This window comes from Homo sapiens, chromosome 21 (genome assembly GCF_000001405.40).
Source record: "Homo sapiens chromosome 21, GRCh38.p14 Primary Assembly".
NCBI classification, from domain to species: domain Eukaryota; kingdom Metazoa; phylum Chordata; class Mammalia; order Primates; family Hominidae; genus Homo; species Homo sapiens.
The window spans coordinates 35,154,469-35,179,809 of record NC_000021.9 but is presented as its reverse complement, the minus strand read 5'-3'; the positions used below and the strand labels follow the sequence as shown (position 1 = coordinate 35,179,809).

The 25,341-nt window shown below is 42.8% G+C and overlaps 1 annotated feature.

The window, feature by feature from the left end:
• Positions 24,684-24,978: an enhancer, noted in NCBI's record as "tiled region #12281; K562 Activating DNase matched - State 5:Enh". NCBI's record gives its function as "activates a minimal TATA promoter and a strong SV40 promoter by Sharpr-MPRA in K562 cells {active_cell/tissue: K562}" and the evidence as "EXISTENCE:reporter gene assay evidence [ECO:0000049][PMID:27701403]".

The window sequence follows — 25,341 nt, the reverse complement described above, 5'->3', positions numbered from 1 at the left end:
GAAGCAAGTTGCAGGCATGAGTACACGTCATCTGTAAACACTTCTATGTGCATATCATTAGCAATAGTTCAATGTTTCTTTGTGTATATTTTTAGGAAAAAAAACTGCCTGAAGTGAAATGCAAAAGTTTTTACAGGTATCATTCTAAACTTTTGACAAATGCATGCATATGTACAATTCAATCTTTGGCAGGATATAGAACAAGCCCATAACTCCAGGTAGTTCTCTCATGCTCCTTCTCAGTCAATTCCCACCCACTTGAAGGTAACATTTATTCCTTTTATTTTTAATTATTCACGAAATGCTGTTTTCCAAATGAAGATTAATTCAGGGTTTACATATATTCTGCTGTTGGAATTTGGAGACAAATCATCTATTACTACCTCGAGTATAGAATCTCAAATAGGAGCCTCACACTTGCCCCTTGTCACACTTGACTCCGTTTGTCCCTTCTCTGAGTGTTTCCTCCACCATGGGCCAATGGTTGATTTGTCTTTTTGTGATGTCCAAAGCTGCTTGAACAAATTTCAGGGAAGTTAAGGCCAACACTCTGTGCTTCCCCTGTTTGGCCTTCACAGCTTCCGTTTTTCAATTGGTGTTCCCCCATTTGGCTTTGGACATGGTCTCATTCTTGGGCACTGCAGTGTACTGGGTGCAGAGACCACTTGTAACAGGCAGACACTGGAGATTTTTCTGCACTCACTCACTGGGGCTTCTTGGCATCATCTGGCATTGCCCATTTGACACGGGGTACTGTAGAGTGATAGGAGCACCTGCTGAAGCTATACTGCACAATGCTCAATTCAGGTCCAAATGTTACTCATATGACACATGCTTCTGACTAAGCTGATTTTCTGTATGTGTCACAGGATGTCATGCAATGGAGTGACCTTTTCCAACATGAGCTGGTACATTCCATTGTAATCAGAGGGTTTTTGTTGGATTTTCTACTTCAGGAATCTGCCAAAGAAAAGTTGTAAGGGTTAAAAAATAAATACATAAAAATAAAAATAAAAAACTATCTGTTGTAGAGTGAGTGCTCCTAGCTCAGTGGAGAAGAAAGATGACTGAGAAGCTGCAAACTTGGGCCCAAGGTATGTATTTGCCATTGAAATGTTCCTGGGCAAAAGCATGAGAAATGGGGTAGGGCATTAATAACCTATGACTTGCTTCAAAACAAGCCTCAAGAGTTTCATCAGCAGATATAGAGGAACTCTTTGAAAAAAGTAAGGAACACAACACAAAGCAAGGTAATCTCAGGCTCCTGTAGAGGCACATTTTCCACAATGGTGGCTCACACACAAAATAATCTCATCCTGTAGTTCCCACCTATAGACTGACAGGTCTCTAGGTTCTTGTTGGATATTCTTGTTGCATAGGTTCTAGGTTATTGTTGGCTATTCCAGGGTATAGGCCAATAATGGTAAAAAACGTTTACTAATATTTCTTGGTTCTTATCATAGTTGTGTGACTCCTAGTAGAAAGCATGTGCAGCCAACATATTGTGGAAATTGGGGAGAATTTAACTAAAGTAAATATTTACAGATATGTAAGCTTGGGAAACTACTAATAAGGAATTATGAAGCAGCCAGCCCAGGAGCGAGCAATCTCTAGGCCTGAAAAAGCGAGGCGGAAACAGTGGGTCCTCCAAGTCTCTAGAGAGGTAGAACTGCAGAGAAGGGAGTCAACTAAGAGCTCTCCACACATCTTCCCACACAACCGAATCCCTAGGGGAACTACAGCAAGGCAGGAGGGAGGGAAATTCTTGTTTGATTTAACAGTGCTAATGGGACATCCAAGAAGATGTTTTTCAGGTAATTGGAACAAAGGTCCAGAGCTCTTTGGAAGAGTTGGAGATCAGAGTTTGAGAGGCATCATATGTAAGCGGAGAGACTGTTGAAGTCATTGGAACGGATAACATTGTTCAGGGAGATGGTAAAGACAAGAGAATAGAAGCCAGAAATGTGGACGAGCAGGAAAAGGGTGGGCAATGTGGGGGAGCCAAGGCCTCAGAAAAGAAGCGCTCCAGAATTGAAGATGTCAAAGGAGAGGGCTTCATTAAGGAAAGAAGAGGGAAAGAAATAAACATCTCCTGAGCTGTTAGCTTGCACAGGCTAGGAGCTGAGACAGCTCATTTAATCTTATTGACATTCACATGAAGGGAGTTGATGTTCACATTTTGCAGAAATTAATAAAAACAATTTAGTTGAGAGAATTTTTACAAAAAGACACACACCATATTTCTAGTACTGGTAAAGATGAAAGCCAAATTCCACTCCTACTAATTAGATTTTCTTCTCCATGAGTTAGGGGACAAAGAGGGTGGAGTGAAAGTGTTTCGGGTGGGGGTGTTGATGAGAGTGGTGCATGGACAGGAGGCTGTGGTCTGAGAGTTGACTTTCAGAGTATATATAAGCTCTGGGAGGACAGTGGCTCCAGAGGATCACATTGCACTTTGCAAGTGCTTGCCTGTACAAGGTAGAGATGTGTGTGGTAGATGAAATAATATCCTCCAGCTCCCCAAGATGTCCACACCCTAATCCCTGGAACCTGTGAAAATGTTACCTGACACAGTGGAAGAGACCTTGCAAATGTGATTAAGGTAAAGGTCTTGAGATGAGGGATAATCCTGGATGGGCCTGATCTCATCACAAGGGTCCTTACAAAGGCAAAGCAGGAGGGTCTGAGGCAGAGAAGTTGTCACAGTGGAAGCAGAGATGGAAATGAGTGTGGCCGTGAACCAAGGAATGAGAAGGGCAGCCTCTAGAAGCTGGAAAAGGCGAGGAAATGGTTTCTCCACCAGAGCCTCCAAAAGAAGTGGTCTGCTGATACCTTGATTCTAGACCTAGAAGATCCATTTGGGGACCTCCACCGTCATAAGATCATAAATCTGTGATGTTTCGAGCCACTAAGTTGGTGGGAATTGATTACAGCAGTGATAGGGTTTGGCTGTGTCCTCACCCAAATCTCATCTTGAATTTTAGCTCCCATAATTCCTATGTGTTGTGGGAGGAATCCAGTGGGAGACAATTGAATCATGAGCATAGTTTTCCCCTTACTGTTCTCATGGTGGTGAAAAAGTCTCATGTGATCTGATGGTTTTATAAGGGGAAACCCCTTTCACTTGGTCCTCAATTCTCTCTTGTCTGCTTCCATGTAAGATGTGCCTTTCACCTTCTGCCATGATTGTGAGGCCTCCCCAGCCACATGCAACTATGAGTACATTAAGGCTCTTTTTCTTTATAAATTATCCAGTCTCAGGTATGCATTTATGGGCAGTGTGAAAACAGACTAATATAAGCAGCAATGGAAGGCTAACACAACGTGCCCTAAAGGCCATGTGCAAACAATCCGTTCATTTGGACAGCCACTCTGCCTTCCTGTCAGTACTCCCAATTCTCTCCCCCACAGGTCCCACTGTCACCACCAGAGGAAAACTTACTCTTACCTGTGAGAACTGTTCCCTCTTATGCTATGTATCCAAGCTCCAGCAGAACATCTGTATCTTTTGTTCTTGACGAATGCTTGTTTATTCCTACCTCCTTGTGTGATGGGTGCTTCCTGCTGAACAAAGAGGTGGGAATCTTACCTTGGGGGCATGCCCTAGATCCCCCAGTGGGAGCTTGGCTTCTGAGTCCCCATAGTATCCTGGACCCAGGGGTGACATTCTATAGTGCCCCTCATGGTTTAGTTTGATTCTGGGTAAAGAGGGCTCGCACAAGGATATTGAGTAGCAGATAACTAGAATAGTCACCCAATTTTGAGACACAACTTATTTCTAAGTGTCTGTAAACCAAAACATTATTTTATATTTTCATAGTCACCATGACTGCATGCCAACTACAGAGCAACTGTACCTTCCAACTGAAGTAAGAGATAAATCATACATATTAAATAGGGCATGCTAGAAAACCCCAACAGCCAATCAGAGCAAGCAGAGATGGTCATTCCACCAGGGGAATACGGTCCATAAAGGTGCTGGGCCTGAGCAGCAGAGTATCACCTAACTCCTCAATGCAAGCCAAGGGAAAAGAAGGGCTGAGGCTTGCCGAAAACGTTCCCAGAGCAACAGTTCTCAACTGATGTTGCCAAACATGTTGCAGTCTTAATTACCAATAGTAGTCCAAGAACAAAACTTTGAGAATAGCTTACAGAAATGAAAAACCCATAAGGCAGAATCAAGAGCAATATCTTTTTCAAACATTTGCATAGTAGTATCTTTTCCAAATATTTGCACTCTAGCAGGCTTTCCTGAATAAATGGATATGTTTATTTCCTAGGGCTCTTATAACAAACTTACACAAACTCGATGGCTTAACCAACAGAAATTTATTCTCTCATAGTTCTGGAGACTAGAAGTTCAAAATCAAGGTGTCAGTAGCACCATACTCTCTCTGAAACCTCTAAGAAGGAATGCTTCTCTGCATCTTCCAGCTGCTGGTAGCTCCTGCCATTTCTTGGCTTGTGGGTGCCTCACTTTGATCTCTGCCTCCATCTTCCCATGGCCATTCTCCCTGTGTGTCTTGGCTTGGTCCTCCCGTTGTGCACGTCTGTCCATGCATCTCTTCTCTTGGATTAGGACCCACCATAATGACCTCACTTTAACAACTTAATGACATCTGCGAAAGACCCTTGAGTTAGTATTCTCAGGTTGTCATAACCAGATACCATAGACTTCGTGGTTTAAACAACAGAAATGATTTCCAATTTCATCCGTGTCCCTACAAAGGACATGAACTCATCATTTTTTATGGCTGCACAGTATTCCGTGGTGTATATGTGCCACATTTTCTTAATCCAGTCTATCATTGTTGGACATTTGGGTTGGTTCCAAGTCTTTGCTATTGTGAATAGTGCCGCAATAAACATACGTGTGCATGTGTCTTTATAGCAGCATGATTTATAGTCCTTTGGGTATATACCCAGTAATGGGATGGCTGGGTCAAATGGTATTTCTAGTTCTAGATCCCTGAGGAATCAGCACACTGACTTCCACAATGGTTGAACTAGTTTACAGTCCCACCAACAGTGTAAAAGTGTTCCTGTTTCTCCACATCCTCTCCAGCACCTGTTGTTTCCTGACTTTTTAATGATTGCCATTTTAACTGGTGTGAGATGGTATCTCATTGTGGTTTTGGTTTGCATTTCTCTGATGGCCAGTGATGATGAGCATTTTTTCATGTGTCTTTTGGCTGCATAAATGTCTTCTTTTGAGAAGTGTCTGTTCATATCCTTTGCCCACTTTTTGATGGGGTTGTTTGTTTTTTTCTTGTAAATTTGTTTGAGTTCATTGTAGATTCTGGATATTAGCCCTTTGTCAGATGAGCAGGTTGTGAAAATTTTCTCCCATTTTGTAGGTTGCCTGTTCACTCTGATGGTAGTTTCTTTTGCTGTGCAGAAGCTCTTTAGGGACATGGATGAAATTAGAAATCATCATTCTCAGTAAACTATTGCAAGGACAAAAAACCAAACACCGCATGTTCTCACTCATAGATGGGGATTGAACAATGAGAACACATGGACACAGGAAGGGGAACACTCTGGGGACTGTTGTGGGGTGGGGAGAGGGGGAAGGGATAGCATTAGGAGATATACCTAATGCTAAATGATGAGTTAATGGGTGCAGCACACCAGCATGGCACATGTATACATACGTAACTAACCTGCACATTGTGCACATGGACCCTAAAACTTAAAGTATAATAATAATAAAAAAAAGAAAAGTACTCAAATGATATATATGTTAACATCAATAACTGAATTGTTGATGAAAGCAAAAGAAATTCTCTCATTGATTGGAAATGCCTATTAAAGTCAAGCCTTGGTAGCACCAAAGCTGAGAAAAACAAGATAAGTCACAAGAAAAAGGGAGAGAAGATGATGTTCATGTTTACAGCCCTGGGTTTCAGCTTCCCTTCTTTTTGGCGTTATATATTTCTGTGACTTCCATGGAAGATCAGTTGTGCATTTAAAGGGATGTTTGTTATATTTTATCCAAAATTTCTAGATGTTTTAAAGTCGTTTTTAGGTTATCTATTCTACCAGAGTGCCAAAACAGCAGATGGAAAAGGGATGCAAAGATGTCAGAGCTTAGCTGCACTGGTTCCCCCAGTGCACTCCAACCATAATTATCCTGAAGCCTGCAAAAGAGAATAATGAGATAAAGGAAGACTGATTCTTGATTAAAGGAGAAAATAAAGATAACAATTATGATAAGCAATAATGATTGTGGTGATGATCAGTAGAGAAAATAGCACAGACAGCATAAAACTGTGAGAAGCAAGACCCACAGCTATTGTAACAACTGGTGAATAAAGATAACCTTACTGGAGATGAAGAAAAAACAACTAGAATGGCATTTAACTCAGAAGTAAAATTCCCTAGTACCCTGTTTGGTACTTAGCCAACGTGGGCACCTCTTGGAATTAAAAAAAAAAAAAAAAAACAAAAACAAAACTTAAAAGATAACAACTCAACTTAGCGTTTGACAACAAACATATGATGTCTGAACAAGTTGGAAGGCAGCAGTTCTTTTGCATTAGCTAGACCATATCTAGAGGAGTATGTTCAATTGTGGGTATCTAAATTTTAGGACCAATGACAGAATACAATGTGTCCAGAGAAGAGAGTGCCAAAGAATAAAGGACCTGGAAAAACATCATGTGAGGAATAGAGGTTATGAGAATGTTTAAACTGGGAGGAAAATGGCACAAGAGAAATATGACATGTCTTCAAATAATTCAGAATACCATTGTTGCTATCAAAAGAAGAAATCTCCCTCTATTAAACTAGGGACTTCAAGTCTTGGTCTTTACTCATTCTCTCTTCCTTCACTTCATATCAAAGGAAGCATCCTTCTTTTCATTAACACTAATTCTCCACTTGTGCTCTTTATTCTATCACTTTCTGCTTCTTCTTGAATTTTGATCATCTCTTCCTCTTGCATCTTCAAGGCAATCTTTCTCCATAAACATATACATCTTTCCACTATTTAAAAACAAAACAAATGACCAAAGAAACTTCCTGTGAACCTGCTTTCACTTCAAGCTTCTATCCGCTATCTTACTTTTCTTTATTCCACACTTTAAGAAAAGTCATCTTCCCTCTTTTAGGCACAATTTTTGCCTAGTTTTGTTACTGCTGTATCCTCTGGCACATAGTAGGCACTCAATAAATATATGATAAATGAATTGATTACATGAAAAAAAAATAAACAACAGAAATGTATTTCTCAAGTTCTGGAGGCTGGAAGTTCCAGATCAATGTACACAAATTCAGTTCTCAGTGACGTCTCTCTTCGTGGCTTGTAGATATCTGCCTTCTTTCTGTGTCCTTTTATACTAGAAGAGAGGAAATGCTTTTTCTTCCTTTTCTAGTAAGGCCACAGTCCTTCCTGTTGGTTTAGGGCCCCACCCACCTGACCTCATTGAACCTTAATTACCTCCTAAAGATCTCTGTCTCTAGGTATAGTCACACTGGGGGCTAGGGCTTCAAAATATGAATTTGGGAGGGACACAATTTAGTCCATAGAAACCTCATTTTCAAATAAAATCACATTTATAGACACCAGAGGTTTGGACTTCAATGTATCTTTTTTGGGGACATAATTCAACCCTCAACAAAAGGTCATCAGTGTAGGGGTTCCAGTAAATGTGTCTGGAATTGGCATTGTCCCCTGGAGGGTGACTCCAGAGAGCCCACTTCCCATGTATGCCCTGGTGACAACCCATCCGAGAACAGAGACTCTCCTGCCAGCCCCCTCGGGGGTCCTGAATCCCAGAGCACAAAGGTAGCTGTAGCTGGGATGAGCTTGGGAAAGCAGCACTCTCCCTGCCTACACTTCCCACACAGGCCCAGGAAGGATTCCCACAAGCCCCAGGCTGCAGCAGCCCATCACTTTGGCAGGGGAAAGCAAACCCTCCCACATGGGCCCAAGCTGCTGCCTCTGGCCTGTGGCACTGGGGGCTTTTGCCCCTCTTTCTTCTGCTGCACAGATACCTTCGACATGTTGAACACACAGGGGGCCCGAGTCATTTCCTTCTTTTTTATGACACTGATTGGTTGCATATGCCCATTCTGTGTGGATCTGTACTGTCTGAGGCATTTGACACACCCGAAGCCCATCCTAGTGAGCTTGGAAAGGGCAGAGACCTGGAAGTCAGACACAAGCAGAACCACGTTAGCTCAGGGAAGCTAGAGTGCCTCCCTGCTCCCTGGGCAGGAAATAGCCTCAACTACAAACCCCACCTCTCACTGAGGGGTGTGCCTGTGGCATGACTGGGAGTCTGGAATATCTGCTTTTCAGTGTTGGTATATACATGAGTCTCGACAAGTTGGTTAAGCTCCCCAAGGCTTGCCTTCCTCATCTGTAGAATGAAGCTGATATTGTGTCTGTGGTGAGCATGTCTACGCAAACCTACCCCCAAAGTCCAAGGAAGCTGAGAGGTGAAGAAAGAGGCTGACAAATCCAGTTTCTTAGAAAGAAAAGTTGAATAGGGACTTAGGAACAGAAGCCATGTCTGTATTTCGGGCAGTGGCAAGACGAGATGGTTGATCCCTATGCTGTTACTCCCCAGACCAAGGGCTTGAGGACCATAGGGAAAGGGGGATTCCGAAGGGATGTATAGGACAATGGAAGTACGATAACACCAAGGTTGTTTAATCTAGGGGCAGGATTTACAGTAAGTATCTGCTCTTACCTAGGAAATAATAGACAAACAGGAAATCTTACAAGCCTTCCCAGAACTGATGTTAATCAGAAGCCAACATGGTAGATTAGCTTCCAAGATGGAGTTGCTTCAGCCTCCGCATACCAGCACCTACCACAAAAGATCATTGTAGAGACCAAGTGAGATGATGATTTTAAAATGCTTTGTGTATTATGCTTCGTACTGGTGATTAATTGTCCCCAAAATTAATAGTAATGCTTGCCATTTTTCTACACACATGCCTAGTAATATGTGTGCATCCAATGAAGCCTTTTATTGAACACCCAGGGAAGAAGAGAAGGAAGGAAGGGCTGCAAGATCCCCTTACCCACTGTTTGAAGCCACCTGCACAGTTCCCACCAGCTCTCCCACCCACCAGGTTGAGCTGGGGTGGAGAGAAGGAAATGTCAGATCTCTGGGGCATGTCAAGCTCCACCACCACCCAGGAAGCCCCATCATGAGCTGATTTAGGGAATGTCTTTAATGTGGCCTCTAGGACCTCTAAACCCTTTATAAAGTAGATTTATGCATGTCTCTGCTTTCACGACTCTTTTAACTCCAAGCTTGAGTTGTATTTGTTTCCCTGGTCCTGCCAACTTAGCCTTGTGATGGGGAGGGAAGCTTCTACTGAAGTGAGCTGTCACCCATGTAAAAGGAGTCTGCTATGATTTGCATATGTGACACAGCTGGTCCCAAAGCCAGGGGTGATAAAATACAGAGCAGAAGACTCACCTAGGACTTAATTATACAATGGGGATAAATGTTACCTACACATCATTTTGTTGTTAGAAGTATTCCTATCACTTATAATTTGGAAGAAAGCTTGTAAATTGAAGAAAGGTAGGTAACTGTTTGCTTTTGGTAGGTGAAGAAACTGAGGTTCATGGTGTTTTAATGACATTGAAGTCAAGAAAATGGGAGTTTAAATACTGCCTCTGCCTGTCTACTCATTCTATGATTTAGACAAGCTTATTATTTTCTTTGACCTTGCATTTGTTGGGATAACAGTATATATTTTTCAAGGTCATTGAACAGAAGAATTGGGTGGCATATACAAACCACTTAATTTACAGCTTGGTACATAGTAGATTATCTTACCTAAAGCAATGAAAAGTGATGCAAGTCTACAGGACAAGCATTCAGTAAAGGTCCCTGTACTTCAAACCCCAGGACCTAGACAGGGATCAGCAATTTTTTTCTGCTAAGGCCCAGATAGTAAGTATTTTGACATCACAGGTCATATAGACTCTGTCACAATTATTCAACTCTGCTGTTGTAGCAGGAATGCAGCCACAGACAAATACATGATGAATATTACTGTGTTCCAATAAAACTTTATTTATAAAAACAGACAGTGGGCCTGATTTGGCCCCTGGCTCATAGTCTGATGACCCCAGGTGTATATAAAACTATGTTTAAAAGCTTGAGATAATACAAATGACAATATCTATTAGATAAACCCTATTTGTCTTTTCATATTTTAGTTTCAACTCTCCCCTTTCTGAGAAATTTTTTCTTTCTGACGATGCTGGGCAGACTGAAGGCTTTCTGTGACCTCTGCCCTTTGAAGACATGACATGACGGCTACCTCCCCATTGTGGGGAGAAGGCAGGCCCATTTCCCAGTGGTCTGTGAGCTCCCAGAAGTCAGTGACTATGTCTTTTCATCTGTCTCAAAAGTGTATATGGTGAACAGCGATACTTCCTTATCTCCCCAGGAGATAGAAAAATAGTTAAAGGGCTTAAGCAGTAGTTGGGGGAATTTAGACTCACTGGTGATTCTCAGCGAGGGGTGACTTTTCCTTCAGGAGGGCATTTGGCAATGACTGGATGTATTTTGAGGTTTCTCTACTGGGGGGTGGTGTATTGCAGAGATGCTGTTAAACATCCTACAGTGCACAGGACAGCCCCCGACAAGAGAATTATGCAGCCCCAAATGTCAGTTGTGCTGACGTTAAGAACCGTGGACTAGCGAAAATGAAGCATTGTATAGGCTAAGAGCATAAATCACTGCACTTTGCAGTTTGTACAATGTGTCTGACCCTACCCTTTCAAAGGAGTGTCAGGAGAATCAAATGAGACAAGCAAGTAGAGAGACTCTGCATAAGTCATTAAGTGTTGTGCAAAAGCAAAGTGTTTATGGTGAGTTAACCAATCCTGGAGTGCCCATGCCTTGTAGGCTCTGAACATTCTTCAGTTCATCCGCCTAAATCTCCCCTTCAGTTTAAGCCTTTTTCCCATCACGCTCTTCTCAGCAGGAATGGGAGTGCCTCTGGCCACCTTTCAAATGCGGGGGAACTGTGAACCACACCTCAGTCTGCTTCTCTGCAGGCAAAATTATCAAATTCCTTTTTCCTTTTTCCCAAGGTCCTATTTTTGAAGGCTTTAATTACTTTAGTTTTGACAAAGACTCTCCTGTGGACTTGCTCCTAGCTTGCCACATACCTCCCACGATATTCAGTCTTAGCCTAAAAGAGCTTCCAATTAATCTTCCACTTGGACAGAATTACCCACTGGTTTTTGTGAGCCACAATGGCTTTTATCTCATGTACTTACCTGCGTGTGACATGGGTGATAGTCTGTCTTCCTGCTGAAAGAGTTGGGCCCACTTTTCTCTTTAATGTAAGTGAGCAAAGTGAGAAATTACAGTGGCGGTTGGTTGGAGGACCTGCTCTAAAACACCTAGTTAAACAAGGTGCACAATTCCTTGTTAGGTGTTCGCCCACTTAGGGCCACCGTGTGGGGCATGGTGGTAATCTCTCTCATTTGGTCATAATGGGTTGAATTGTATCCCCCTCCCAAGAGATATGTTGAAGACCCAAACCTCCAGTACCTAAGAAATGTGACCTCATTTGGAAAGAGGGTTTTTACAAAGGTAATCATATTAAACTAAGGTCATCAGGGTGGACCCTAATCCAACATGACTGGTGTTCTTATAACAAGGGAAAAATGTGGACACAGAGGCACACATGGAGGAAAGCTGATGTGAAGATACAGAGAGACAACAGCCACCTATAAGCCCAGGAATGCCTGAGGCTACAGAAGCTGAGAGAGAAATCTAGAGCAGATCCAGGAGTCCAATACCTTGATATTGGACTCCTGACCTCCAGAATTGTGAGACAGTAAATGACTCAATTTGTGGCACTTTGTTACAGCAACCCTAAGAAATTAGTATGGTCATTGATGCGCTGGCTAAGTTTCATGATCCGAGCAGAACATTTTTGCCAAGGATTTTTAACTGCCATTCCTCTTCATAGCAGATGCCATCACTGGCCCACCCATTTCCCTGCAGTCTATCTCAGTGGCTGCCAGCAGCCATGTGGATAGCCTCTTGCATCTCCTGGCTGAGGGCATCCTCTGACCACAGACACACACCCAGGTATAGAACAGACTGGAAGTGCCAGCAAGTTCCTAGAGTGACCTATTACCAATGAGAGGCAGCAGTTGCAAATAAATACCCCAGTTTCTTCACCTCTGGTTAGGATCACTTGGACTGGGTTCACCAAAAATTTTCAGAGGGTCCCCAGCAGGCCTGAGTCCTATTTGCCTAAAATGGAACCTACTAATCAAGGTGTCTCTTTGTAGCTTTCCACCCTCTACTTTCTCAGTTCCCTGCTCCCTCACAGTGCTTCCTGGCATCACCCGCCAAATAAAATACTTGGCCCAAATCTTTTTCTTTGGGTCTGCTTTTAGAGGAATTCAAACTAAGTCACTCGATAATGGGCATGTGAATGCCTAGAGTTGAGATCTGAGAGGCACTATCATCCCTGCAGCTTAAAACCAAGTAAAAGGGGGAGGAATGAGGTAAGGAGCCACACAACATCAGAGGCAAGGTTGGGACAGCCGATAGACTCAAGAGGTTCTGGCCAGGATCATGTCTGAGTGTGAATGGTCCAATCTACTGCCATTGAGGCAGGCGGTTAGCCCTACACTCATTCATGAACCCAGACAGCAGACACTGCGTGAGAGAAGGCCAGGGTCACAGAAGGAGAGAATATTCCCTGAACTCAAGGAGCTCATCTTCTTATAGGAAGAGACCAAGGTATAAAAAATCTGGTTTAAGTGCCATGAGACAAATGCTTAGTGGGGACCCTAGGGAACCAGATTCTGCCTAAGGAGTGTGGGGCTAGGGAGTGGAGCAAGATGGGTTAAGGGTTTGGAGGAGCTGGGTGGGTGTGGAGGGTGTGATGATGGAACAGAGAGGATGCACACCCCTGACCCTGAGAGGGGCACGTGCAAAGGCCCTCAAGTAGGGAAACATTATAGAAGCTGTGAGGTGTTCACGAGGGGCTGGGGTCCCCTTCTGAAGAGCCCTGGATGTCGTGCTAAGGAATTTGTATCTCTCACCTGTAGGGAGTAGCCAGGGCTGGCTTCATGAACAGGTGACCTGATCAGTAACAGGAGGCCCCATGCTTAGAAGGGTCCACACTCGGGTTAATGTTCCCCTGTCACCACCTTGAGATCCTTAATTCTTTTTCAACAAGGGGCTTCGATTTTGCAGTGGGTCCTGAAAATTATGTGTCCAGTCCTGGGCATAAGGAACCAAGAAATGAATACCCTGAAGAGTGGTTCCGAGCCAAGTCTATGGTGTATGTGTTGGAGATTTCTAAGGATGGCAGGGTGCTGTTGGAGCTGGGCAGGGAACCAACAGTGATTACTCCATTTGGGGGATTTTGAGGAACTCAGCGTCCAATCAGAATTTCTGCTTCCGATTATGTTAGGTGTGAAGGTAGTCAGGCATTCAAGGGATAATTTCTTTTCCTTCCTTCCTTCGTTCCTTCTTTCTTTCTTCCCTTCCCCCTTCCTTCCCTCCCTCCCTCCTTCTCTCTCTCTCTTTCTCTCTCACTCTTTTTCTTTCTTTCTTTTCTTTTATTCTTTCAATATATTTGAACTGTTTTCAAGCCCGTCGGTTTATTAATCTATTACTAAACAATATTTATTATAAAGTGAAAACCCATCTTTAATCATGTCATTTTGGGATGACAGTCAAGACTAGAGACTAAACAGTCTCTAATCTTACCATAAATTAGGCAGTATTTTTTTTCCATCTCCGAGTATAATTCTTTCAGTGTCTCTGTGAGGAAGGCGTCTCTACCCTTTTTTCACAGATAAGAAAAATGAAGCTCGGGGAGAGTTCGGTTCATTCAGGGTAAATCCAGACTTTTCCAGGGTCACCTCCAGAGTAGGAGTTGCAAGCCAGGACTTCCCAGGTGTTTTCTCCTCAAGGGCCCACTGTATTCACCACCCACCTCTCTCCCTAAATCATTCTCCTACTCTCATCTCTTCTGTAAAGCTGTCTCCAATGGGAGGTCTTCTTAACGCAGTCACCATATTTTGTATCCAGTTTTGTATCTGTTTTATGTCTCCTTCTTGACTGTCCTTTAGATTTGCCAAGTGTTTCTGAGTCTTTGTGAGGAAGTTCAGCCTTTCTCCACAGCACAAAATGTGTGCCTCCTAAGTACACACACTTGGCCACCGTATGGGTGCAAAGGGATTAGCCACGCCTGACTGGTCTAACGACAACCCCCTCCATTTGTCTGTCATGACTGATTTAGGTATAGTCATGTGACCTCGTTTTGGGCAGTGAGACCTGAAGGAAAATTTGGGGGAGGTTCAGAGAAAAGTTTTTCTCTGTCAAGAAAGAGTCACTAGATGGATATAAAATTGGTATGTCAGAGAGATGCCTGCACCCCCACGCTCATTGTAGCATTATTTACAATGGCCAAGTTAGGAGATCGACCTAAAGATTCATCAATGGATAAAGAAAATGTGGTATATGTACCCAGTGGAATACTATGCAGCCTTAAAAAAGAGAGAACATTGTGTTAAGTGAAATAAGCCAGGCACAGACAGACAAATACCACATGATCTCACTCATATGTGGAATCTGAAAAAGTCAAACTCGTAGAAGCACAGAGTGGAATGGTGGTTTCCAGAGGCTGGGGATGAGGGTTGGGAAACATGATGGTCAAAGGATACAAAATTTCTGTTAGACAGCAGGAATCAGTTCTGGAGATCTATTGTGCAGCATGGTGACTCTAGTCAATAACAGTATGTTTTATACATAAAAATTGCTGAAAGTGTAAATACCAAGTGTTCTCACTACCAAAAAATATGATAAGTAGGGTGATGCATATGTTAATTAGCTTGATTTAGCCATTCCACAAGGGATACATGTATCAAAGCATCATGATGTTCACAAATATATACGTTTATTGCTCGATTATTAATAAATAAATAGAATGAGTCACTAGAAGATTCAGACTCCCTCTGACCTCTCTACATAGCCTTTTATCCACCCATCTTCCAACCACCTGAGTGACCCTGGGTAAGTCACTAAAAACATATAAGGAATATTTTCATATACACTCATTTTTTTTTCAACTCAGATGAAATTCAAAAATAATCTTGATCATTTTAAAAGTGAACATTTCAATGGCACTTAGTACATTCACGATGTTGTACAACCACTACCTCTATCTACTTGCAAAACAGTTGCATCACCTGAAAGGAACTCTGTGGCCATGAAAAATCACTCCTTATTCCCTCTCCCGCAGCCTATGGCAACCACCAATCTACTCTCTGTTCCTGTGGATTTTCCTATTCTAGATATTTCATATAAATAGAATCATGCAGTATGTGGTCTTTTGCATCTGGCTTCTTTTGCTGGGTGTAATGTTTTTGAGGTACGTCCACGTTGTAGCATGTATCCAAATTTCATTCCTTTTTAGGGCTGAATAATACACCATTGTCTGTATATACCACATTTTCTTTATCCATTCATCTATTATTGGGCGTTCGGGTTGTTTTCATCTCTTGTCTCTTGTGAATAATGCTGCTGTGAACATAGGAGTACCTGTATTTGTTTGAGCATCTGTCTTTAATTCTTTTCAGTATGTAGGTAGGAGTGGAATTTCTGGGTCGTATGGTAGCTTTAACTCTTGGAAGAACCATCAAACTGTTTTCCACTGTGGCTGTACCACTTTGCATTCCACCAGCAATGTATATACCCTACCTTGTTTTGCCATGACTCCACCCTGATGAGGTTGGGTTACTTTATAAAGAAGGATCCTGAGACTCAAGGATGTAAAACCATTTGGCCAACTCAGTTTGTCAAGTGTCAAAGTTTGATTCCACATCTTTGACTACAGATCCCATTCCTTTCCATTGTATACACTTCTCCAGTCTTCAGCTTCATCCTTTGGAGAGAGAAAGCAGAGATCTATGAGGAATAAGCTTATCCAAATGCTGTCTAAGAATTCTGATAAAATCCCAGTGCAGGGCCCCAGGTGCTGAATACTGTGTTCACATAAGTATATATGTTTACTTTGCAGACTCAGCATCTGCAATCATACCTAGCCCCTAGTAAATCCTCAGAAAATATTTGTTGAATGAATGAGACTTATGCATTTATCTGAAAGCCTTTCATGTCTCTGGTAGTTAGCAAACCATATGCTGCCTTTTCCTTAAGATCTTTCTTTGCAAATGTGGCACATTCAGAAAAATATAGGACTGGATCGACCAGATGTGATGTGACTAACAATGGTAGAATGTCTCTCTCACACTCTAAATTGAAAATATGTTGTAATCAGATGTGTCAGTAGTCTACCTCAAATACAGTGGCAACGTGCCTTTCTCCGTTTCACTTAATATCATCTGATTATTTAATCTACAGACATACATCACTGATGTATTTTAATTAGCATGTTTGCTATGTATTTATAAATCAGTTTTCACCTTCTAAGACTTGGATGTTTTGCTGTCAAGAAGTCACTAGTACTAACCCCAAATAATGAATATGTTTTATAGTTAACAAAATTTTTCCCAGATCAATAAGGTTAATAAGTGATACTGTCACTTGGGCATGTTAATAAATTTTTTAAAAAATAGGCTGAGCCAGCTGAAAAGCTACAACTGGAAATAGATTATAGCATTTTGCCCCAGGCTTTGGCAGCAATTGAAACAAAGTATTTTGAAACACAGCAAATTGGCATTTCTCTGACTTCCAATGTTCAGTCTCTCCAAGCGGGACACCTGGTTCAACTACACAAAACAGCTATTCAGAATTAGAGTCTGGGCTTTTGTTATGCAAAAGGTAAATGAGGGTAGCATGAACTTTTCCAGGAAAAGCTGTTTTTACTTTTTACCCTAGGGAGACCTCTCTTCAGAAAGAAAGAAAAGAAAAAAAAAAGAAAACTGGTACTGACAGGAGATCAGAAGTTATGAGGATGGGTGGGTTCGAAATTTACTTTATAAAAGAAAACTTCATGCGATGCTGTAAAATGTTTCCACTGTAAATGAATTAAATTGAACCCCAAACCTACCCTGCTTGGGAACACTAGGTTCCCGTGGGACACTCTGAAGAGCTTTCACCAGGCTCACCTCTCCCCAACTCTCAGACTACAGAGACTTGCTTCTATTTGAGTTGCATTTATGTTGTAATAGAAATAGTTTGACCAACACTGTGGTTGGCTTGCTAAAAGAGGATCTATGCCCTATATGATAACATGTCTGTGACCCTGTACGTGTACTCTCATGCGTGCGTGTGCTTTGCGTGATACAGTCCAAACAAGGTTGGAAATTGCACTTGAATCTAGTGTTTGAGGTTGGTCATGCTACCCAACCCATGAATGGGAAAACCCAAAGTCCAGAGTGAAGGAGAATGCAGTGAAGGTTCTTTGACCAAAGCAGGCTCATCCAAGATGCCTGGCATTTGGTCCTATGACTTGTAACCCTTTGGATCCAATGGCCTTCCTATGCTGTGTTGGGTGGGTGTTAGGCAAATGTAAGGCCAAACAGCTTCAAAATCGAATTGAAGAGTCCTTGTTGGATGAGTATTAAGAGAGTCAGGGATCACCTGTCATTGCACCCCAGGATCAGCATCTTAGGGAGCCAGGCCCCAGACAGGCATTCTTCCCTTTACTTAATTGGTAGCTATCTCTTGAGTGACCAAGTGCTGGTGCTGCTCTGGGGATGGGACAAAGCCGTGCTCTCAGGGAGCTCACCTCCCAGCAAAGAAGACAGATGATAAAGACAGAACGAGGCCATTAAGTCATAGCATTTCAGATGATCAAAGTGCTGTGAAGAAAGCAGGAGGGCAGTGGGAGAGGAGGAGCTAGTTTAGATTATAGAATTGGAGAAAGCCTTAAGGAGCAGCGTTTTGGCAGAAACCTGCACAGTGAGAAGGGGCAAGCCTGGAGAACATTTAGGGGAGGCATCAGAGGAAGAAGGTACAAAATGTCCTAAGGTAGCAATGGTGCATCTGAGGAAAGCATGACTGGCCAGGATGAGAGTGACCCAGGAGGAATGCATCAGCGAGGGTACGCAGGATAGGCAGGACCAGAGTATGAGGGCCCTGTAGGGCAGGGTCTTCCTGCCTTGGCACCATTGGCATTTGGGGCTGGATAATTGTTTGTCATTGTAGCTGGTGGCGAGTCCTGTGTACTGTAGAATGCTAGCAGCATCCCTGGCCTATACCCACTAGATGCTATTAGCAACCTCTCCCCACAAATTGTGACGGCCAAAAATGTCTCCAGACATTGCCAGGTATCTTGGGGGTGGATGTGAAATCACCCTACATTGAGATCCACTGCTACAGATTATGGCAAGGCCTTTAGATCATGGCCTTGACCCTCAGCTTTAGTCTAAGCATGATGGGAAACCACAATAGAGTTTTAAGCAGGGGAGTGCTACAATATAACTTACATTTCAAAGGGAACCTGGCTGAGGGGCCAGATGGAGACTGTGGGGAGCAAGAGTGACAGCAGGGACTGGCGAATGTTCATGAAAAAGATAAGAGCAGGACCAGAAGCTTGGCTTCTACAGAAGATGGAGCTTGGGAAGAGATTTGCCTCTTCATGCGTGTCCCCGGATAGCTCACCGTCGTACCAAATGATAGGAATAGGCTCTTGATAGGAATGGGCTTCAGAAGAAGACGGCTTCTTAGGTGGCTGAGAGCTTAGTGGTCAGGAAGCCAAGGCTATGGCTTGGCCCATATCTAACCAAATAGATTTGAACAAACTCTACCTTGGGTATATTACCTTTCGCTAGCCTTGACTATCTCACAGTCACAAGGAGCACCAACTGCAATATTGCAATAAACCAACCCGAAAACAAACTTTCATGTTGGAGGGTCTTTCTTCATCTTGCCACTCCATTGTGGGGAAAATGCAGGTGCCACCTTGGTCTGCAGGCCTCTGAAAGCAAGTGACTTGTCATCTCATCTATGTGCTCCTCTCAAGCAGTGCATAACCTCCTGTAAACCTCTTCTTGGAGGAACTGAATCACCCTTGACTTTGAATTGCTAGATCTTTTCACCTACATCTCAGCTCAACATTTCCCACAACAGCACCCGGATGTTGTCCTATGTGGACAATGTCACTTCACCTCCAGAATTCAAATTTCTTTTTTTTTTTTTTCTTTTTCTTTCTTTCTTTCTTTTTTTTTTTTTTTTTTTTGAGACGGAGTTTCGCTCTTGTTTCCCAGGCTGGAGTGCAATGGCGTGATCTCGGCTCACAGCAACCTCCACTTCCTGGGTTCAAGCCATTCTCCTGCCTCAGCCTCCGGAGTAGCTGGGATTACAGGCATGCACCACCAGGCCCAGCTAAGTTTGTAGTTTTAGTAGAGATGGGGTTTCTCCATGTTGGTCAGGCTGGTCTCGAACTCCGGACCTCAGGTGATCTGCCCGCCTCAGCCTCCCAAAGTGCTGGGATTACAGGCGTGAGCCACCGTGCCCAACCCAGAATTCAAATTTCTAATCTTAGCTTCCACAACCACTTTGGAAGCTCTTATTGCAATTCTCCCACCCACCTTGCTGCTCTGAGTTTGCCTCCTAATTTCTTATAGCATTTCTTGATTCTCCGTAGGATCCTCTGCCTCCTCTCCTTGTTTCCCTCACTGACTCATCTTTCTTGGCACCACTCTTACCCGTTAGTGCTCCCCCGGGTTTTGTCCTCAAGGCTCTTCACATCACAAGTCTAGACGTTCTCCCAGGAAAGCTCCTTCATTCCCATAGCTTTAACTATCACTTCCATGTAGATGACTCATACCTTTATTTTCCCAGACTCAGGATCTCTCTAGATCTCCAGACCTTGATTCTCTGCCTCTAACTTGACCTTTCCCCCATTAGGGATGTCACCACCAAACCTCTCACCTAAGCTAGGCATTCAAAAGGTATCTTTGATTCTTTTCTTTCTCTCTCTCTCTCTTTGTTTCCCCAAATTCAGAATGGTCCCAGGATATTGTGATTCCATTGTTTTCCTTAAATATGTGGTCTCCTGAGTCATCTTTCTAACACGCATCTGATCATGTTATTCCCCTGCCTAGAAGTTATTGATGGCTTTCAGTTACTGGTTGTCAAATCCCAAGTCCAGTCTCCACGGCATCCTACCTTTCCAGCAACACCTAACTTCATCTTCTTACCCGGATAATTTTTATTCTAGCTCCATAGACACTGGTTGTGGTCCCTAAAATACACTATGTCCCCACTCCTTTTATTGCCTCCTCTAATTGTAATTGCTCCACCACTAATCCCCTTCTTTTGTATCCAGTCTTTCTCCCTTGTCCCTTTTCTACTATGCGAAACCATACCCATTCTTACAGACCAGGTGTAAATGTACCTCCATCCATAAAGCCACCTTCCTTGTGCCAGACAGAGTCTCCTGCTCCATTTTCTGGGTTCCCAGGGCCTTCTACATGCCTGTCTCTCTTGCTTGATTAAGCTCCTTTACTGTTGTAGCCATGTTTCATCCATTCTTGAAGCCCTAAATTACCTGGTATTACTCCTGACTTTCAGGGTGTGCTCTGAAAAATAGTAGTCGAACTAATGAACAGTGTCTCCTGCGATCACTTCTGATGGAAAGCTCTTCCTTGTTCTACTGTGCCTAAAATGCTGAGATTACAATCAAGCTCATGATTGGAATGCAGCAACAGAGATGTAATTATTTCAGTAGAACTAGATTCAATAGAACAATTGGGGGGAGTAGAAATAAGGTACTTATTTTCATACCTCAGGTCCAAAATATTGGGGACATGGCTGAGTGGAGAGAAAAGAAAAATAAAATAGTCTTGTTAGCACCACTTATAGAAGACTATTCCCGATTGCCTAGCCAGTAAGAAAATACAAAAGATATTGCCTCATTCTAAATTAATCTATAATTGTAATCAAAGACAAGATACATCCAGTATTTTACCAATAATTCGCTTTGTTTTTTTTGTTGTTGTTGTTTCTTTTGTTTGTTTGTTTGTTTGTTTGTTTTTTGAGATGGAGTCTCGCTCTGTTGTCCAGGCTGTCCAGGCTGGAGTGCAATGGTGAGATCTTGGCTCACTGCAACCTCTGCCACTTGGGTTCAAGAGATTCTCCTGTCTCAGCCTCCTGAGTTGCTGGGATTACAGGCACATGCCACCATGCCCAGCTAATGTTTGTATTTTTAGTAGAGACAGGGTTTCACCATATTGGTCAGGCTGGTCTCGAACTCCTGACCTCAGGTGATCTACCTGCCTCGGCCTCCCAAAGTACTAGGATTACAGGCATGAGTCACCACACTCAGTGGATTTGTTCTGTTAAAGGCAATTATATTGAAATATAGCTGTCAAAGTAGTTTCTTAAAATTTGTGAATAGTAACAGTTATGTATCCTTATTGACTCATTCAATATCAAGACCTATTGCCAAGTCAGACCAACCAGGTGATTGACTTGGTGGCAGGTTGATTACATTGGACCACTTCCATCATGGAAGAAGTAGTGTTTTTTCTTACTGGAATAGATGGCATAGATACAGATTTGTCTTCCCTGCATGCAATGCTTCTGGCCAAAACTACCATCCGTGGACTTAAAGAATTGCCTTATCCACCATCATGGTATTCCATAAAAAACTGCTTCTGATCAAGGAACTCACTTCACAGCAAATGAAGTGCTGCAGTGGGCCCATGCTCGTGGAATTCACTGGTCTTATGTTTCCCTCCATCTTGAAACAACTGGTTTGATAAAACAGTGGAATGGCATTTTGAAGACTCAGTTACAGTGTCAGCTAGGTGGCAATATCTTGTAGGGCTGGGGTAAGATTCTCCAGAAGGCTGTGTAGGCTCTGAATCAGCTTCCAATACATGGTCCTGTTTTCCTCATAGCCAGAATTGATGGGCCTGCAAATCAAAGGGAGAAAATAGCACCATTCACTGTTAGCCTTAGTGACCCACTAGTAAAACCTTTGCTTTCTGCTCTGATGACCTTATGTCCTTTGGCCTAGAGGTCTTAGCTCATTTACCGTATTAGTCTGTTTTAACACTGCTAATAAAGACTGGGCAATTTAAAAAAGAAAGAGGTTTAATGGACTCACAGTTCCACATGGCTGGGGAGGCCTCACAATCATGGCAGAAGGCAAGGAGGAGCAAGTAACATCTTACATGGATGGCAGCAGGCAAAGAAAGAGAGAGAGCCTGTGCAGGGAAACTCCCATTTTTAAAACCATCATATCTCCTGAGACTCATTCACTATCATAAGAACAGTGCAGGAAAGACCCGCCCCTCATAATTTAATCACCTCCCACTGGGTTCCTCCCATGACACATGGGAATTGTGTCCCCACCCAAATCTCATCTTGAGTTACAATTCAAGATAAGATTTGGGTGGGAACACAGCCAAACCATATCAGCTCCTGGGAAGGGAAGAATGCTTCTACCAGGAGACACACAATGATTTCATTGAACTGGAACTTAAGATTGCCATTCTCCCACTTTGTACTCCTCATAATGCTAAATGAACAGGCATAGAAGAGAGTTACTCTGCTGGTAGGGGTGATTGATCCTGACGAGTAAGGGGAAATGGGACCACTTGGAGGGAAGGAAGAGTATGTTTGGAACATAGGAGATCCCTTAGAGTGTCTTTAGTATTACCACGCCTTGTCATTAAGGTCAATGAGAAACTACAACCACCCACTTCAGGCAGGGCTAGTAGTGGCCCAGACCCTTCTGGAATGAAGGCTTGGATTATTCCACCAAGTAAAGAACCATGACTAGCTGATCTGATTGCTGAAGGCAAAGAGAATACATAATGAATAGTGGGAAAAGGGAGTTGTAAATAGCAGTTACGGTTACATGACCTGTTATGGAAATGAAGACTGTAATTGTCATGAATATTTCCTCCTTATTTTGTTCTGAATTTACTTGTGTGTATGTATGTGCACACAGATATAGGGCAAATTTCTGTGTTTTCTTCCTTCTATTATTCCTTTATCATGAAATATATAATGTATTGGTTTTATATTACTGTTTTTGAGTACAGACTATCAAGGAGAAGAGTAAACATTACTCAAGGGCTTTATCTCCTCCTCTTGGGAAAGGGTTAGCACATTTTTTATTGTGAGCAGGAAAGCTGTATCATGTCAGGCAGAATTATAAACTTGCTACTGTCTTCATGTGGTGATTAATTAAATACATCTTAAGGAGATGAGTATGTGTTCCAAGTTAACAACAGGTGGACTTGTAATGGTTAATTTTATGTCAACTTCACTGGATCCCAGAATGCCCAGGTATTTAGTCAAACATTATTCTGGGTGTTTCTGTAAAGGCGTTTTTGGATAGGTTTAATATTTAAACTGATGGACTGAGTAAAGTAGATTGCCCTCCCTGATGTGAGTGGGGCCTCATCCAATCAGTTGAGGCCTGAAGAGAACAAAAGGCTGACCCTCCCCCAAGTAAGAGGAAATCCTTCCTGCCTGATTACCTTTGGGCTGGAAAGTCATTTCACCGTCAGCTCTTTTAAGTCTCCAGTTTGCCAACCATTCTGTTTCTCTGGAGAATTTTGGTTAATATAGTTATCAAAATGCTTCTCTAAAAAATTGTGAATAATAACAGTTATGACTCTTTATTAACTCATTAAACTCATTAAATAACATGACCTATTTCCAAGCCCAAGGACTGTAATTTCAGGGTAGTGATGAGCATACACAATATTTTGGTACATTTGTAAGCACTATAATGTGATTTGAAGCTATCCATTATTTCAATCAACTGGTGAGAAAGTTACCCCCCCCCGCTTTTTTTTTTTTGAGACAAGATCTCACTGTGTCACCCAGGCTGGAGTGCAGTGGTGCGATCTTGGCTCACTGCAACTTCTGCCTCCCGGACTCAAGCAATTCTCCTGCCTCAGCTTCCCAAGTAGCTAGGACTACAGATGCACACCTTGCTAATATTTGTATTTTTTTGTAGAGACACATTTTTGCCGTGTTGCCCAGTCTGGTCCCAAACTCCTAAGCTCAGGTGATCTGCCCACTTCCGCCTCCCAGAATGATAGGATTACAGACGTGAGCCACCGTGCCTGGCTGAAAGTTACACATATTTCTAATACTACTGCAATTTCTTTTCTATATTTATGATAGAAGAAAATGCTATGTTTGAGTTAGGAGTTTGTAAAAATAAAGATGGAGTTTGTAAAAATAAAGATGTATTTTGTCCCAGCCAAGTTCACAACAACCCTAACCAAGGACCCCTCAAAGTGTCCAACAAAAGGACCCTTGAGATAAAGAAGAGCTACTGTCCCTCCGCTCCTTCCTGCATAGACTACACTTTGAGAAACTACCTTCAGAATGACATCACTATTTTCCAGCGGGTTCTTCGATTCTCAGGAAAGCCAAACATCTCAGTGATATAATGTGTGCAGTAGACAGGGAAACTGAAATGGACCTTCGTAAACAAAGGGAGTGAAGTCCCCTTTTTCATGATTGATTGGTATCTGGGACAAAATCTTTATCTGTTCCTTAAACTCATTTTCTCCCCTCTGGGCCCCTAGCATAGTGTTTCCATGTGACAGATACTGAATTTGCTGGATGCATGGCTACAGATGGATAGACTAATGATCCCACAAAAACATCACTTGAAGTTGCAAAGAAAGCATCGGCCTCACATAGGATATGTTGATGATGTCTTTTTTCTCGAATGTTCTCTTTCCTCTCTACTCATGCCATCCATGAGGCCCCAGAGCAGGTCTTTCCTTAAAGCAGCTGCTTCTGAACACTGCCGAGCTCCATCAGCCTGGAACCATGTGGCCTTACCTTCAGTTCCTTCCACACTAGAGGCAAAAGGGTAAGATGAGTGAGCCTCAGCCACTTGGTGGGGGAAGAGGTTACATCGCAGCAGGAGCTCTGCCCTCTTTGGTTAATGAGTCCTTTTCTAAATACACTCAGTGAAAGCACATCCCCCTCATCAGATAACAGAAAGTGTCATCATTTCAAACAACAACGTTTTGTTTTGTTTTTTTTCTGAGACAGAGTCTTGCTCTGTCACCCAGGCTGGAGTACAGTGGCGCCATCTCGGCTCACTGCAAGCTCTGCCTCCCGGGTTCAAGCCATTCTCCTGCCTCAGCCTCCCGAGTAGCTGGGACTACAGGTGCCAGCTACCACGCCAGGCCAATTTTTTTTTTTTTATAGTAGAGACGGGGTTTCACCGTGTTAGCCAGGATGGTCTCAATCTCCTGACCTTGTGATCCGCCCACCTTGGCCTCCCAAAGTGTTGGGATTACAGGCGTGAGCCACTGCGCCCAAACAACTTTTATATGAATTAACTTACATGTTAATCCTAATGCGAGCCCCAAGGAGAACTGGGAAATACAAAAAGAGGTGCAAATGCATTTCTGATCCTGCA